Genomic DNA, 15,968 nt, shown 5'->3' on the forward strand with positions numbered 1-15,968 from the left:
AGTTGGAAGAATTTTTTAATTTCCATTTTTTATTTCATTTTTGACCCAATGATCATTTAGGAGCAGGTTATCTAATTTCCACGTATTTGCTTGGTTTTGAAGGTTCCTTTTGGAGTTGATTTCCAGTTTTATTCCACTGAAGGAGTCCTTGATATAATTTCAGTTTTCTTAAATGTATTGAGATTTGTTTTGTGGCCTATCATATGGTCTATCTTGGAGAAAGTTCCATGCACTGTTGAATAGAATGTGTATTCTCTGGTTGCTGGATGGAATGTTCTGTATACATCTGTTAAGTCCATTTGTTCCAAGGTGTAGTTTAAACCCATTGTTTCTTTGTTGACTTTCTGTCTTGATGACCTGTCTACTGTTGTCAGTGGAGCATTGAAGTCCCCCACTACTATTGTGTTGCTGTCTGTCTCATTTCTTAGGTCTATTAGTAATTGTTTTATAAATTTGGAAGCTCCAGTGTTAAGTGCATATATGTTTAGGACTGTGATATTTTCCTGTTGCACAAGACCTTTTACCCTTATGTAATGTCCCTCTTTGTCTTTTTTAACTGCTGTTGCTTTACAGTTTGTTTTGTCTGATATAAGAATAGCTACTCCTGCTTGTTTTTGGTGTCCATTTGCATGAAATGCCTTTTTCCACCCCTTTACTTAAGTTTATGTGAGTCCCTATGTGTTAGGTGAGTCTCTTGAAGGCAGCAGTTAGTTGCTTGGTGAATTCTTATCCATTCTGCAGTTCTGTATCTTTTAAGTGGAGCATTTAGGCCATTTACATTCAATGTTAGTATTCAGAGGTGAGGTACCATTCCATTCCATTCATCACGTTATTTGTTTTTTGTTTTTGCTTTTTAAATTGTATTTTTATTTTATAGGTCCTGTGAGATTTATGCTTTAAAGGAGTTCTGTTTTGATGTGTTTCCAGGATTTGTTTCAAGATTTAGAGCTCCTTTTAGCAGTTCTTGTAGTGGTGGCTTAGTGGTGGCGAATTCTCTCAGCATTTGTTTGTCTGAATTTTTCCTTTATATATGATGTATCTTTCCTTCATATATGATGTTTAGTTTTGTCGAATACACAATTCTTAGCTGATAATTGTTTTTTTTGATGAGGCTGAAGACAGGGTCCCAATCCCTTCTAGCTTGTAGGGTTTCTGCTGAGAAATTTGCTGTTAATCGGATAGGTTTCCCTTTATAGGTTACCTGGTGCTTTTGTCTCACAGCTCATAAGATTCTTTCCTTCATCTTAACTTTAGATAACCTGGTGACAATGTGCCTAGGCAGTTATCTTTTTGCAATGAATTTCCCAGGTGTTGTTTGTGTTTCTTGTATTTGGAAGTCTAGGTCTCCAGCAAGGCTGGAGAAGTTTTCCTCAATTATTCCCCCAAATATGTTTTCCAAATGTTTAAATTTGTCTTCTTCCTCAGAACACTGATTATTCTTAGGTTTGGTCATTTAACATAATCCCAGAGTTCTTGGAGGCTTTGTTCATATTTTCTTTTTTTTTTTTTTTTTTTTTTTTTTGGTCTTTGTTGTATTGGGTTAATTTGTAGACCTTGTCTTTGGTGATTGACTGATTGATCGAGGCAAATAAAATTTCTGAAGCAATGCCTTATTATCTCTACAATATTTAGGATTAAAAGAGTGTAGCTTTATGTAGAGGAGAGAAATGGATTGGAGCAAATCCCTTACATGTAGCAATCATTGTTCTTACAGCTCTTAGATAAGGGAGAAAGGAGGTTTGTAGCTAGAAGTACATCACCACTATGCAAGGACTTTGCCATTTACTAAGCAGTAGACACGCTCAGAACATTCAGTGATTTCTCTACTCTAAAGTCTTCCAAGCACCCAATAGTCTTTCTACAAAAGATAAGAGAGTCTGGGGACATAGTTCATATTCAAAGAGCTGGGATAATTTGGAGAAATCCTAAGGATAATTTTTTAAGGTTATGTTTGGCTTGATTTACATTCTTTTGACTGTGAGAACCTCTACTGATATAAACAGGGAGGGCTGAGGTAGAGTAGGAAAACTCTTGCTATAGTTTTATGACTGAATTTCTTAGGACTGAAATGGGGAGGAGTTTAACTTTATCAGCCACTTTTAATGAATCAGAAGACAGCCACTATTTCAAAAAACAAATTTTGCCTTTGATCGACTTCACACTTCAATAAAGGAAAGTGATTGTTTCTTTACTTTTAAAGAAGACATATGGGGAGGAGAGAATTAGACTTTTTTTGCAATGACTTAACTGAACACCCACCACCTTCAGACAGCATTATGACATTTCTGCTCAATGCTATAGTTACTTCTATAACACAGCAATTCTTACATTTTAGGAAACTTCTTGAATGCAGGCTGTGTGGGATTTATCTTTGTGTCTCCCAAACAACCTGGCACTGTGTCTTCTTCCTTACTGGAGAAATTCAATAAATAATTGTTGAATGGATGACTGAATGAATAAGCCAATGAATGGAATTAACACTACATTGTTGTTCTCATCTATTCCATCAATGTATATGCCATAACATTCATTTTTTCTCTAAGATGATTTCCTTCTTGGGAGGTGCAAGAATCTAAGAAGTGGCTAAGAAACAGGTACAGTGCTTGAAGATATGAGCGTTTCTGTTGTCGTTGTTATTGTAGTTGTTTTGGCTTAACAAATACACTGCACCTTAATGAGATGAGTGCCAGGATATTTACCTCTAATGTTTTGGAAAGCAAATGTACCTGATACTGCACTCACCATTTATGTAAATGTATGCATGCAAATTTAGAAAAGTATAACTTCATTAAATTAAATCTATTTTATCACAATCAAATGATTGAGGTAATAAAGGGGCAAAGAAAGATAATCCTGAATTTTAATGGCTGAAACCTGTGAGTAGAGCATTATCTTGCTGCTGCTGTTATAAGGACCAGTAATTGCCATAGTCTAGACACAGGAACAGATGCAAAGTAGAGCTTTATTATATCAGACATTTGCCCTACTACAGTCTAATTACCCAGAAAATACATTTCTACATGAATTATTCTTAATTTGATTCCAAATAGGCCAACTGTTGTATTTTACGGAACTTTATCAAATGACAAGATGGAGCACTAAATTTAAGAATAGTTTCTCTTTAATGCCAGTGCCGTTGAAAAAGCCAGTGGAATCCTCAAAGATTGAAAATAGATACACTTTTCAAATAAGTTCAATATTTGCTTGGCAATGTCATTAGAATTATGGTCATGATTATTACCTGCCTGCCTTTCTAAGTTGGCAAATTTACCACCTCAAGTCTGCTCTGTCTGCGTGGGTCTTCTTTAAAAGTAAAGAAACAATCACTTTCCTTTATTGAAGTGTGAAGCTTATTGAAGACAAAGTTTGTTTTTTGAAATAGTGGCTGTCTTTTGATTCATTAAAAGTGGTTGATAAGTTAAACCCCTTCCCATTTCAGTCCCAAAGATTTTTTTAAACTTTCGTAAGCATTAAATGTGAGTGGTTTTCTGAAGGAAATGTGACCTGTATAACCAGTTCTCTTTCCCTGATTTTTTAAGGTCCATTAGAAGTGAGTAATTCTGTGCATCTGTAACTTTATGCCAGTATTTTTAAGAATTTCAATTCATTTTTTCCCCTGCCGGCAGTGAATTTTAAAAGTCTTAAACATGCCCAAACATCTCAGGGGGGTTAAAGAAAATTATAATAGTAACTAGTTTCTCCCCCCTCCCTAAAAAAAAATAGAGCACACTACTGAAATTATTTAAATTGACTGAGGCTTTTAAGCAAGTAAACACATTTTAACTAGGTTTTTTCGCAATCCCTCCATTCATGCCAACTATAGAAATTAGCCTTCACTCTTCCTTCACTTACACATGGATACACACACTTGCATGGACACAAGAAAAATTTCTTTTCTCCTGTCAGCATTCCTCCCCAACAATGGTTAGATTAGTGGCATGAAGGCAGCCGCAGAGAAAGGACATTCAGGCCAGAAGGCTCCCCACAGGCACAGCTGGTAGGGGTTAATGGCGGCTGAACCTCCCAGCCAGGGCCTTTTCTCTATTGTGTGTTCCACTCCTGGGAAGGAGGGACACTTGTGACAGCCTCTGGGGTGCAGCGGATCAGAGGTAGAGCAACTGGGTCACAGAGGACTGTTCCAGGGGAAGGCGAGTTTAGGAAAAACGCACTCTGAAATCCAAATGGTGGTGTTTCTAACTGTGCACAACTGCTGTGGGAAAATGCAAAGCGTTTAGCAATATGGCTTATAAGTTTCTAATTCACATCTTCATATAGGAGCCTTACAGGAACAATTGGGCAGGGACTTTGAATCATTCCTATTGGAAAGTGATTGAAATCTGAGTGAAAACTACACGTTTGGCTAATGTATGTTATTAAAGTTTGTGTGCTAATGTCTAGGCGGTCTATTTTCCACATGGCATAAAGACTAGAGTGCAGACACAATGGTCAGAGGGGGAGAAGCTGGGGGCATCTTGATAAATAGGAGGTTGAAATTTAAGTAGAAATTGATTATTATGCATACATGTCCAGATAAAGTAGGTGTGCTTTAACACGCACCATCGAATGAAGAGAGGCATGGAAGTGGACCCGGATTTCTGAATTACCTTTCGATGTAAAAACAAGACAAAGCAACAACAACAGTAACGCTGAAACTGTTCTAGATATCTGATCTGTTAAATAGATTTTTATACTTAACTGGATAAATAGGGTTTCGTGGGCAGAACATGTCTTTTACAGAGAGTCCAGGTTTCTTGAAGAAAGATAGCTTTGTAACTTCGAGGGGTACTTATCTGTTAGTATCACAGAGGTGGGTTTTGTTACGAGACATGATTCTTTGGCTCAGAGCGGGTGAACTGAGGGTCCTCCATAAATATTTGTTAAATAAATAAAGACCCCACAGCCACAAAAATTGGTTCTGCTTTTCATTTTTAGCTTAAAAGGTCTACTTGTTTAGAAATGAGAATAAGGCCCAAGGAGGATGCTTTTTATACCGGTGAAGTGAATTTGTTTCTTTTCAAAATAGCTACACATCTCTACCAAAGGGTGCTAAAACAATTCACTTCCAAATTAACATTGGCCTAATTTATTTTCAATAAACCCAACCTTAAGAGCTGTCTAATTGGAGACCCGGTTTTGGCCACATTGAGGCACTGAATACTAGAGGCATCTTTATTCTAAAGCTTTTGGCTTCGTTTATCTAATTTGAAATTTTAATGTCAGTTGACTAAAATTTGCCCTCTGCTTGAGTTTGTTTTGACTTACTACTCTGGGAAAAGGAAGTAGGGGGAGTGAGAACAAATTAGGGCCCTTGGATTTTACCTGCAGCATAAACATTTAATACTTCCTCCCTTAAGTCACAATGGTTTTTTTGGGGAAACAACACAGCCCAATGAGCTCATTAAAGTTGTTCTCTTTAGGTTGTAGCAAGGGAGGGAAAGCAAATGAGTCAAAGCCCAGGGTGTTACAACAGCACTTTGAGGCCAATTGAAGAGGGCTGGGCTTTGCTGCACCTTGATGTGTCTTCTTGGAAGGGACTGATATTCTGAGTACACAGACCCTTCTAGGGACTCCTGGCCATGAGCAATCAAGGATGACCATCTTATTATCAAGTACCATGATGAATGCCTGGAACCTGCGAGGGGATTTATACTCACGACCTCATTTGGCATAGTTGGAGTTCGATTGGCAGACTAGAGTGACATAACTATTGTAATATGCCAAAATAGGCTTCTGTGGGCTGTGCTAGTACAGGTCAGTGCTAGTTACAAAATTCACAGGTGTAGAACACCAAGCATTATTTTATTCACAAATATTCATTTTATTCTTGCCATTTCATTATCAGCTCTGAAGATTATTCTGACGTGATTTTTTAAATATATAGAAGTGAAAACACAGAAGCTTTCCTAGTTCCACAGTAAGTCAGAGCGAAGACCAGAGGGCATTCCTGAACACACCCATGCTCCACTAGAAAAAAACTCCTCTAGAAAACACTTCATTTTCTTTTCTTTCGTCTTTCTTTATTTGGGGGTAAGAGGTGTGGCAGACAAAAATGATCAGAGGGGCCGGGCGCGGTGGCTCACGCCTGTAATCCCAGCACTTTGGGAGGCCGAGGCGGGTGGATCATGAGGTCAGGAGATCGAGACCATCCTGGCTAACAAGGTGAAACCCCGTCTCTACTAAAAATACAAAAAAATTAGCCGGGCGCGGTGGCGGGCACCTGTAGTCCCAGCTACTCGGGAGGCTGAGGCAGGAGAATGGCGTGAACCCGGGAAGCGGAGCTTGCAGTGAGCCGAGATTGCGCCACTGCAGTCCACAGTCCGGCCTGGGCGACAGAGCGAGACTCCGTCTCAAAAAAAAAAAAAAAAAATGATCAGAGGACGGGACGTTTTTATTGTCACTCTAATGACTACCACATGAGGAACCTGAAGGGTTAAATTCCATTTTTTCTCTAAAAGTTCTGTATTTGTGTGCATGTGTCTATACTGTTAGATTTCTTTTTCATTTGCAAGAGGAAAAACAAGTCACACCTGGTTAGAGACTTTTCATTCCTGCCAAGTTTCAGCTCACATTGCATTTTTATGGCTGTGTTATTATAAATTCCCCCAAATAAAGCTAATATAACCTCCTCCTCGTGGAGCTCGCAGGTGCTGGCGTAATAAGATACATTTGCATTCCTCGCTTGTTTGAATAAAAGAGAAGGTGAGATAGGGGAGTTTGTTGACCTCATAGCCCTGGTATGTGTATTAGGTGTACAAAGATACAAAGAAATATTAAATTAAGAACTCAGAAAGAATTGACTCAAATGACAGCCTCACACATTATGGAGCTTTTACATTTAATAAACTCCTGATCTCCCTGGGAGCAATTGATTTGAAGCAATTGATTCAAATAGTTTGTTTTCACAATTTTAAAAATGTAGGTAATTCCATTTTCAAAAACAAATTTAACAGAAGATGCTGTTTACACAATCACTGTGCTGTTCTTAAACCGCTCACTCCAAGATCGTGTGATACAACTACACAGGACATGCTGGGGAAAGGGTTAAGCTTTTCTGACTTTCAGATACAATGAAATTATGACAGGAAGAAAATTGTGCCATTTTAGCATGAAAATGCTTGTACAAATACTGTCGTTCCTTCCTTCTTACTTTCTTTATAATGCCTCAGCGATAGCTAAGATGACAGACATTTGACAGGTATCTGTAAGCACACGGCCCAGGCAGCTCATTAAAGTTTTTCTTTCTATGCATCAGCTTTCACAAAGGCAAAAACCCATTAGCATTGACTATTTTGCAGATTAGAAGAATTAAGGGCTTCAAACGTTGGCTTATACCAAGCAATGTCATTTGTGAAGTGATGTTTGCTTTATTATTTCCCTTTCTCTCCCTCTGAAACCAGACTGACATGACTTTAGCTCAACGTAGGGCGTAATGTGCAAACCAAAGGACTGGCTCATCGATGAAAAGAAACACATTCCCTTTTAGACATGACTGGAATGGCAAAAAGGGGAGACTTTACATGTACTATTTAGGCTCATTAGAGGACTGATTATGATAGTTCTCTGGTGTAATCTTTAATCGACTTTGACACTAGATTTGCCCCGTTACAAATCCTGTCATGCAAATTAAGTCATTTGTGTTGTTTGATATGGAAAGATCTGCTATGAAATGAAAGATTAGCTCGCAGATGAGGCACAAGAGACGGCTGCCCTTGTGCTCTGTGCAACTGATTACAGGGATGACAGCGTCCATTTCCACACTGCTGTTAACATTTAGGAAAGGAGATTAAATTAACGTAGCTTTAGGTCTTCTTGCCTGAAGATATTCAAAATAGGTGTTCATGTTTTCAGAGATATTATTCTTGGACCATACCGAACAGGTGCTTCGAAGGCAGGGCTCTCATGTCCAGTTGTTTTAACCTGTTTTCCATCGAGTGGGCTTCTATTATGTCGATTCATGGGTGAAATTCTTTTTCTATACAGGTGATTGGTGTTCACTGACTAATGGGCATCTTGACAAACCAGGTGGGAGCTCCAGTTGTCCCAGCAAACTATAATTTCATTTGAGCCCTCTACCCCATTTCACCTTCTATTTTAAATATTAGATGGCCATACTCTCAGGTTTTTGGCGTAATTGATGGTTTTAAAAATATGTAGCCATTTGCAAGCCTCAAGGAGAGTTTTCTAAAAAAAAGATTCACATGAAATCTGATAAATAAAAGGATACTACAAATATTCATGCTATGTGACTTTGGAAACTGGAATCTTGTCATTTCTATAATGTGGTTTACCTTTGCTAGACATTTCTGGCCCTGAAAATGCAAGTAATTATTAGCAGAAGATAAGCAGAAAAGACTAGATTTAATTAAAACTGCTTTATCCACAAGTACATCTATCTTAGAATAGTTTGGGGTATTTTCCTCTTTACAGAGCTCTTCCGATTTATAACAAGGAGTTCACCATTTGTTGCTTTACTGCGTTAAAAAAATTGTATTATTTTTATTGTTGTATTGTTACTTCTTGTTTTTTCCCCCAAATATTTTCATTCTGTAGTTGGCTGATTACAAGGATGGAGAACCTATAGATCCCGAGGGCCAACTGTACTGTAGGTTAAATCAAATATTTGGGAATAGGAAAGTAGCTATATAAATGAAAAGTTTTTAAAAATCATTTCTTAAAACATTAGTAATATGTAGTATGTTGCTTCACTGGTTTTTAAAGAGAAGTCATATCGCTTCTCGGCCTTTTGGCTAAGATCAAGTGTAAAACGAAGTCATATGTTTACAACAGAAATTAAAAATTACTAGGCATAATTTTGCTTCACTATCATAATCAGTCCTCTGATGACCCCAAATAGTGCATGTAAATTCTTCCCTTTTTGCCATTCCAGTCATGTCTCAAACAATGGTGACACAATCAAGAGGCTCACACCAAATATAACCCAGTTGTCCTTCCCTTTGGTTATTTCTTATTTATAATCTATGGCTGGCATCCATACTAAATATGATTATAGACTTGCCATTTAATGAAAGGTCAAATGCAATCCAGCCGTCGACTGGCTGGAAAGCCTGTAGGTGCTCTGCATCTCAGCACCAGATAAATATTCTGTGTAATGCGGGGGCTGTCATAGAGGGTGCCTTTGATTGAATACTAATGTAAATAGTCATTTAAAATCCCTTTTAAATGATCATAACACAAGTTAGAGTGGCCTCCAGCAGCTTCATCCGTGTGTCTTCTTTTGGCACATTTTTAATTGGCATGCTTTGTCTTTTGAATGAGTCACACACCTCTGTTTTGATTAACTTTGATCAAATTTGGGGATTTCATATCCCTTGTAGCTAGGTAGAGAATTAGCCATTTAGATATCAGTAAAAGGAATTTTAATGAGTGAAATAACATGTAGATTTTCCTTGGCAATCCCCAGGAGAAAATTAATCCATAATAGAGTTTAACTAAAGATTTGAGAAAGTTTTCACAACTTCCCATGCCGACCTCACCAAGGTATAGCAAAATGTCCATAAAACTTTCATTCCATCTGATACTCATGAAACACATAGGCATATTTTTAATAATGTGATTTTGAATAAAATTATGAAAGAATGGATGGGTTAAAAATAGATAAAGGAAGAAAAATAAAAATATGAGTCTTTCATAATAAAAGAGGCTGAAAAATCTGTAAGGTAAGAGTGGATTAAACACTGTTGCTTTATTACTATTACACTGACATTTATGTGACTGAGAGTTCCTGCAGTTTGTGCAGTGTTTCGTAAGACATAATCCTTGCTATTAATGTGGTACTTTAAATTTAATTTTATAGCACAGCAAGCTAAATTGTTGCCATTTCTCAGCCATTACCTTTGCTTGGGGACCTAGACAAGCACATGTATTGTTCCAGACCACTGATGGACCAGTTAATGTATCAAAGGGCATACTGGTATTAGTACTTCCAGACCATTTTCAGGGATTCTCAAACTTAAGCCCCAATCAGAAGCACCTGGAGGGCATGTTAAACCACAGATTGCGGGGGCCCAACTGCAGACTTTCTTACTCAGCTGTGATAGGTGAAAGTTTGCACTTCTAACTAGTTGGTTGGTGTTGTGATACTGGTCCAGGAACCACACTTTGAGGACTACCGAGCTAGGGCATAGAGTTTCTTGAGGGGTGTGAGGCTTTCACGTGGGAGAATTCCTAAGTACTAGGAAGAGAAGGGAATTAAGTTGCCACTAACTTCCTTTAATGTTGTCTTCTCTTTTCTCTTTTAATGTAGACAATATCCAACTTTAGTTTTCAGAATATATTTTTAAATGTTAAATAGAAATGCAAATTATTTTTCCATGAAGAAGAATATAATATCTAGGACATAATAAATCCTTAATAAGTATTTGTTAACTGTGTTTAGTTCTCAGGCTAAAGAAAATATCACCTAATGCTTCTGATATACAGAATTGTGTGCTGCAAATGGTTGAAAAGATTTTAGTTTCAACACCTAATTCCCATCATTCTGTGGCAAAATATATCTTGAGTTCTGATGGGCGCCAGAACAACATCTGAAGATTGAATGAAACTTCTAAAGGTGAGGTGAGCAAAGAGAATAAAGTTGAGGGTGGCTTGTGGAGAAAAGCAGAAATCCCTGGACTTCAATTTCCAATTACAATCATTTCAGCAACATTTAAAAAGCTTTTATTATGTGCCAGGTCTTGAGTTAGGGATTGAAGGAATAGTGAGATGAGCTTCCCACCTTCAGGGGACTATATAATCTTATTTATTTTCTGGACCTGCTTAAACTAAGCAAGAACTAGCCCTGGATAAAAACTAGAGCCACATGGGTCCTAGGCCTCTGCCATTAAGTCCTGGGATAATCTTGGGCCAATCATCAAACCTTTTTGAGCCTTGTTTACTCCTCTGCAATGACTATTTATCACATAGTTTTTTTCATGCTTTAAACTATGACCTATCAAATGATGTTATTAATACTTAATTTTCATAGAGAGGAATGTAGACATTATCCCCATTTCACAGTTGTAATCATTTTTCTAAAACAGTGATAACAAGGCCCGTCCTGTACTTCACAGAAGACTTCTGAGGGTCAAAGAGAAGATTTATAGGTAAGGGCTTTACAAACTATCAAATACTATGCAAATGTGAGGAATCATTGTTCACTACACACAAACACGCTTGCAGGAAGATTCTTCTCTATGCCTGTTACCTTCAGACATTCCTGTGAAAGAAAACTAAAAGCATTTTTCTCTATGGGGTGAAAGCTGCAGGACCCCCTCATCTTTTCCCTAGGTTACTGTGTATGGACACTTTTTAAATCAAGTGCCCCTAAGAAACGATGGCCTGAATTCTGTGCTTGGGCCTGAGCTTCTGGCCTGGTTACACAGTGGCCAAGCAGAGTGTTCCTGTTGCAGGTACCACCATCCACTCTTGTGTAGACACACAGCTGAACACAGCAGCAGGTGGTGAGGGCCCTCAGCTTCCAGCAGGACCTAATGAGGCATCATTGCGAGGAGAAAAAACTCGAGTTTGGCATGCCTCAACTGGAATCTTGAGTTAGCCACATGCATTTGTGTGGGTTTGGAAATATGACTCTTAACTTCTTTGAACCTCAGTTTCCTCACTGGTAAGATGAGGTAAAAATTGTATATCTAAGTTTAGTGGAGGCTAAATGGGTTATTGAACATGAAGTGCTTACTAATAATGATAAATGTACGTACCCGACATGGAACAAGTGCTTTATAAAAGTTGACTGCTATTGTTATGATGATGGGTACACTAGAGACTTGTGAGAACACACTCATTTAGTCTATAAATGTCCCTAAATTTTTAAGTTTAAAATTGGGAAGTGCCCAGGAGTTATTTCTGGATAGAGAGGAGCTCTGCATTTCAGTAGTAGAACTCCAGCCATGCTGCACCTGCCATCTTGTCCCTATTGCTACTTACGGCTTAACCTTAAATTCCTCTCGTCCATCCCTTTCCTTGCCGTTATCTCTGATATAGTTCATTCCCATTGTGCAGTTCATGGCGGCGGTCTTCTGGAAGCTCAGCTTAACTGGAGCACCTCCACATGGCTTCTCCATGTGGCTTGGGCTTTTCACAGAGTGGCAGCTGGACTTTGGGAGAGCTACAAGGCTTCTTATGACCTGGCTTCTAAAGCTCCAGAACAGCACATTTATTGTGATCTGCTCAGATTCAAGGAGAGAGGAGTTATACCCCACTTCTCACTGGAAAGATTGTCAAAGAATTTGTGGCAAATATTTAATTTGCCACAGGGATTGTGAAAATGAAAAGTTGGCAATGCCTGAAAGTACCTTGCTCAGTAAATGTAGGGGAAGACAGACATAAAGGGCTCAGTCTAAGATCACTAAAAGATATTAAGACCAATTATCAGGGAAAAGAAGGCCTCTCATATCACTTCCCTTAGCTTGGCACCTACCTCGTGTGTTGTAAGTGCTGCTTATTTGCCTCTATCCACCCCTGTTTTCCCCAGGAGCATGGACTGGAACTGAATTGTTCCCTTTGGATCCCCGGTACCCAACTCGGATTCTGGCATATAATAGTAATTCCAAAATTATTTGAACAATTGCATGGATGAGTCATTTTCATAAATAGGTAAGGCAGGAGAAAAAGTTGATTTGAAAGAAGAGATAACCTTTGACATTAGACATATTAAAGTTTGAGAGGCCAGGGATATCTGGAAATTGCCAGCCATTGAGAATATAAAACCGAGTTGGGAAAGGTGCAAGTAATAACACAGATTTGCAAATCGCCTGTACAAAGTTGATCATTGTCAGGCCGTGTGAGTTCTCCAAAGGAGAAATGTAGAAGAGGAAGACAGGCTTAGCTAAGAGTTTTTATTCCAAGAATAGGAAGAAGAATAGGCAGGCATTGGATATGAATGGTGAATTCCCACCTGCGAAGATGAGGAGGGCATCCTGAGCAAGTCATAATCCTTATGAGAAGCCAATGTTTATCATCTTTGATCTTGGGATCTTGTTCATGGATTTCTCTCCCCAAACATTTATATGCTTTGATCTAGAAGTACTGGAAATATTCCCAAGGGAATTAAGCAACTCAGAAGTTATATATGCCAATAATTTCCTTACAGAATGACCTACAACAAAAGTTACATTCTCCAGAGAAGTAAAGAAAGATAGAGAGGGCAAGTGAATATGCAGCACAGGAAGATAAAAAATCAAAACGTTTTAACTAGTAATTTTATCACATTTAGTGTGAAACATATTTCTTACTACAATGTTTTATTGAAAACATTGCTAAATGTCATTTTGTTAATACAGAAGTTTAACTTTGCAAAACCATGTCTTTGATTTCACCCATCACTGTATGTCCAATTTACCCGGATTTCAATATTTCTTTTTTTTTTTTTTGAGGCAGAGTCTTGCTGTGTCACCCAGGCTAGAGTGCAGTGGCAGGATCTCAACTCACTGCAAGCTCCACCTCCCAGGTTCACACCATTCTCCTGCCTCAGCCTCCCAAGTAGCTGGGACTACAGGCACCCATCACCGCACCCGGCTAATTTTTTGTATTTTTAGTAGAGATGGGGTTTCACTGTGTTAGCCAGGATGGTCTCGATCTCCTGACCTGGTGATCCGCCCATCTCGGCCTCCCAAAGTGCCGGGATTACAGGCATGAGCTACTGCACCCAGCCTGGATTTCAATATTTCAAGATAAAAAATTCCAGTTCAGTGAGTAGGAATCCTCAAACCTTTGTTCCTGCTTTCCCACGTGACCTTGGGTGGGTCACTTAGTTCTGATGGGCCTTAAGTCTCTTATTTGTAAAATGATGAGAGATGTTAGGAATTTCTTAAGTCCTTTCCAGCTCTAAAATTCTTTAATTTTATGGTTTTGAAGTCAACAGTTTGGAGCCTCCTGTCTTGTATTTATGTAGTCAAGAAAAGAGAGATTGCCCCAGTAGTCAGTCACGTGAACTGGATTCAGGTTATTTCCTTTGTGGTAATTGCAAATGAAGCTTTGTTAGTAATAAACATTAGGTGTTTTGTTTTTTGTTTTTTGTTTTTGTTGTTGTTGTTGTTTTCAGCACCAGCTGATTAAAGCCACTTTTTTGATTCTTCGGGTTACTTCCCCTTCAGATACTGACCACACCTAGGCAGCTCAAGACTTTCTTCTGGCTCTGAGTCTTACCATACAGTAACCAAAGTGTTATGCTCAAAAAGGACTTTAACACCAATGATTCATCATTTCAAACCTCCAGGAAAGATGATATTACAATGTTAAAAACAATGTATGAAGGCACTAGCAAATATATAGAGCAATGAATAAATTCAAAAATAACAGAGCATGAAATATTATCAACGATTTATTTCTCAGCCACGTAAAACTTCCTAGAATATGTTAGAGTATGTGACCATTTAAGTACCATCAGAATGTTACAAAAGTTATCCTGCAAAAAACAGATCAGTATCTTTAAAGTTAACTGTTTACTACCCAAGTAACCTTGGAAGTCTTAGAAGGGTATGGCTTCGAGCCACGTTGGAAACAAATATACTCAGCTATTTATCTACAAAGGCAAAATGCATATGTTTGGGAAATGAACATATCCCAGGGTATTAGAATAGAATAGACAAACAAAAGTTGCGTGACTTAAATTTGCCCTGGACTTTAATAAAAAATCTAAGGGGAAAAATTTGATATATTGTTTTTATTTCATTTTAGAATAATTCTATAATAATGATGATGATGGTTTGACAAGTACATGTTACAAAACATTTATGAAGTCTAGCATAGAGTTCCTGGAACATAGCAGTAAATTTTTGTTGTTATATTGGCAAAGTTCAAACTGTGAAGGTAATTTAGTCTACATGGCATTCAATAAACTGCACATTGGCACAGTTAGGGCTAGCTCGACCTTAGAATATATTGTTTTTTTGGGGGGAAACATTTGGAAAAGATGTATGTAATTTATAAAGTTTAATTGAATTAAAATAGCATAATTTAGTCAAAATTCAGCTTAATAAATGAAAGTAACCTAAATTAGCACATTATTGATAGTAAGTTTTTAAACCTACAAAGAATTGATTAGTGAACACTGTAAATATTAAATACAAGTAAGTCACAAATGTAAAATATTGTCAGCTAAACATTAAATAGTTCTCATTATGTGCAGTGTGTATGCTAAATTCTCTATTAACTGACATTATCTCAATCAGTTCCGATAACAATCCTTTGAAGTAGTAACTATTACCCCATTTTCAGATGAGAAAACTGAGTCCTAGAGACTTGCCTCTAACCGCACAACTGAAGTCATCCATCATTTGAACTCCGTATCTGTCTGGTTCCAAGGCTCGAAATCTTAACCACTTGTGCCCCTCAGTGAGCATGAAATAAACACTAATAAACGGAAATCATGGAAACAGGGATTCATAATAGCCATTTTTACTTGCTCAAGGGAATAGTATTATAAGATGTAATTGAATCATCTTTCATAAAGAAATGAGTAAATCTAAATAAAATCATGCACATAGTATGCCTCATTTTCTACACGAAATCAGCTTTCATGGTTAGTGAGTAAAGAAGAATCATTGTGGTAAAAAGTTGTACCTGGTAACAACTTCCAGATGCAACAGAGCTTATAAACTCTAGTTTATAGAAATGCAGGGCATTACGAGTCCATATTTCCCATGTTTTGTTACCTAGTACTGGTAGTTATAAGTAGGTAAAGTTAAAAGTTACATTTAGTGAAAAATGCAGCTAGCGATCCAGTAGCTGCTGTGCCTTTCAGACAAATGCATTTTTCTAAAGAACGTGAGGTTTTGGAGGTGGCTTCATCTTCTCATATTAGCACGTTCTGTTGTCATCTTATTTTATTATTTATTTTGTTGTTGTTGCAATGCATCAGAAATTGCTACAGTCTTATATGCAGTTACTTTGTGCTCATAAATTATATTCCTTCTTGCTCCCTTTCATTCCTGGGATTCTGGCTTCCTCCTCCC

General features: G+C 37.8%; 3 annotated features.

Annotated features, from left to right (window-relative positions):
- Window positions 3,271-4,556: an enhancer, noted in NCBI's record as "VISTA enhancer hs1226". NCBI's record gives its function as "enhancer in: neural tube[12/16] | hindbrain (rhombencephalon)[12/16] | midbrain (mesencephalon)[13/16] | forebrain[14/16] | eye[12/16] | cranial nerve[10/16]" and the evidence as "EXISTENCE:transgenic organism evidence [ECO:0001131][PMID:17130149]".
- Window positions 3,609-4,110: an enhancer, noted in NCBI's record as "OCT4-NANOG-H3K27ac hESC enhancer chr7:21081139-21081640 (GRCh37/hg19 assembly coordinates)". NCBI's record gives its function as "activates a minimal SCP1, AML or CMV promoter by ChIP-STARR-seq in naive H9 embryonic stem cells {active_cell/tissue: H9 hESC(naive)}" and the evidence as "EXISTENCE:reporter gene assay evidence [ECO:0000049][PMID:30033119]".
- Window positions 6,812-7,930: an enhancer, noted in NCBI's record as "VISTA enhancer hs701". NCBI's record gives its function as "enhancer in: midbrain (mesencephalon)[4/8]" and the evidence as "EXISTENCE:transgenic organism evidence [ECO:0001131][PMID:17130149]".

Source organism: Homo sapiens, chromosome 7, assembly GCF_000001405.40.
Source record: "Homo sapiens chromosome 7, GRCh38.p14 Primary Assembly".
Taxonomy (NCBI): domain Eukaryota; kingdom Metazoa; phylum Chordata; class Mammalia; order Primates; family Hominidae; genus Homo; species Homo sapiens.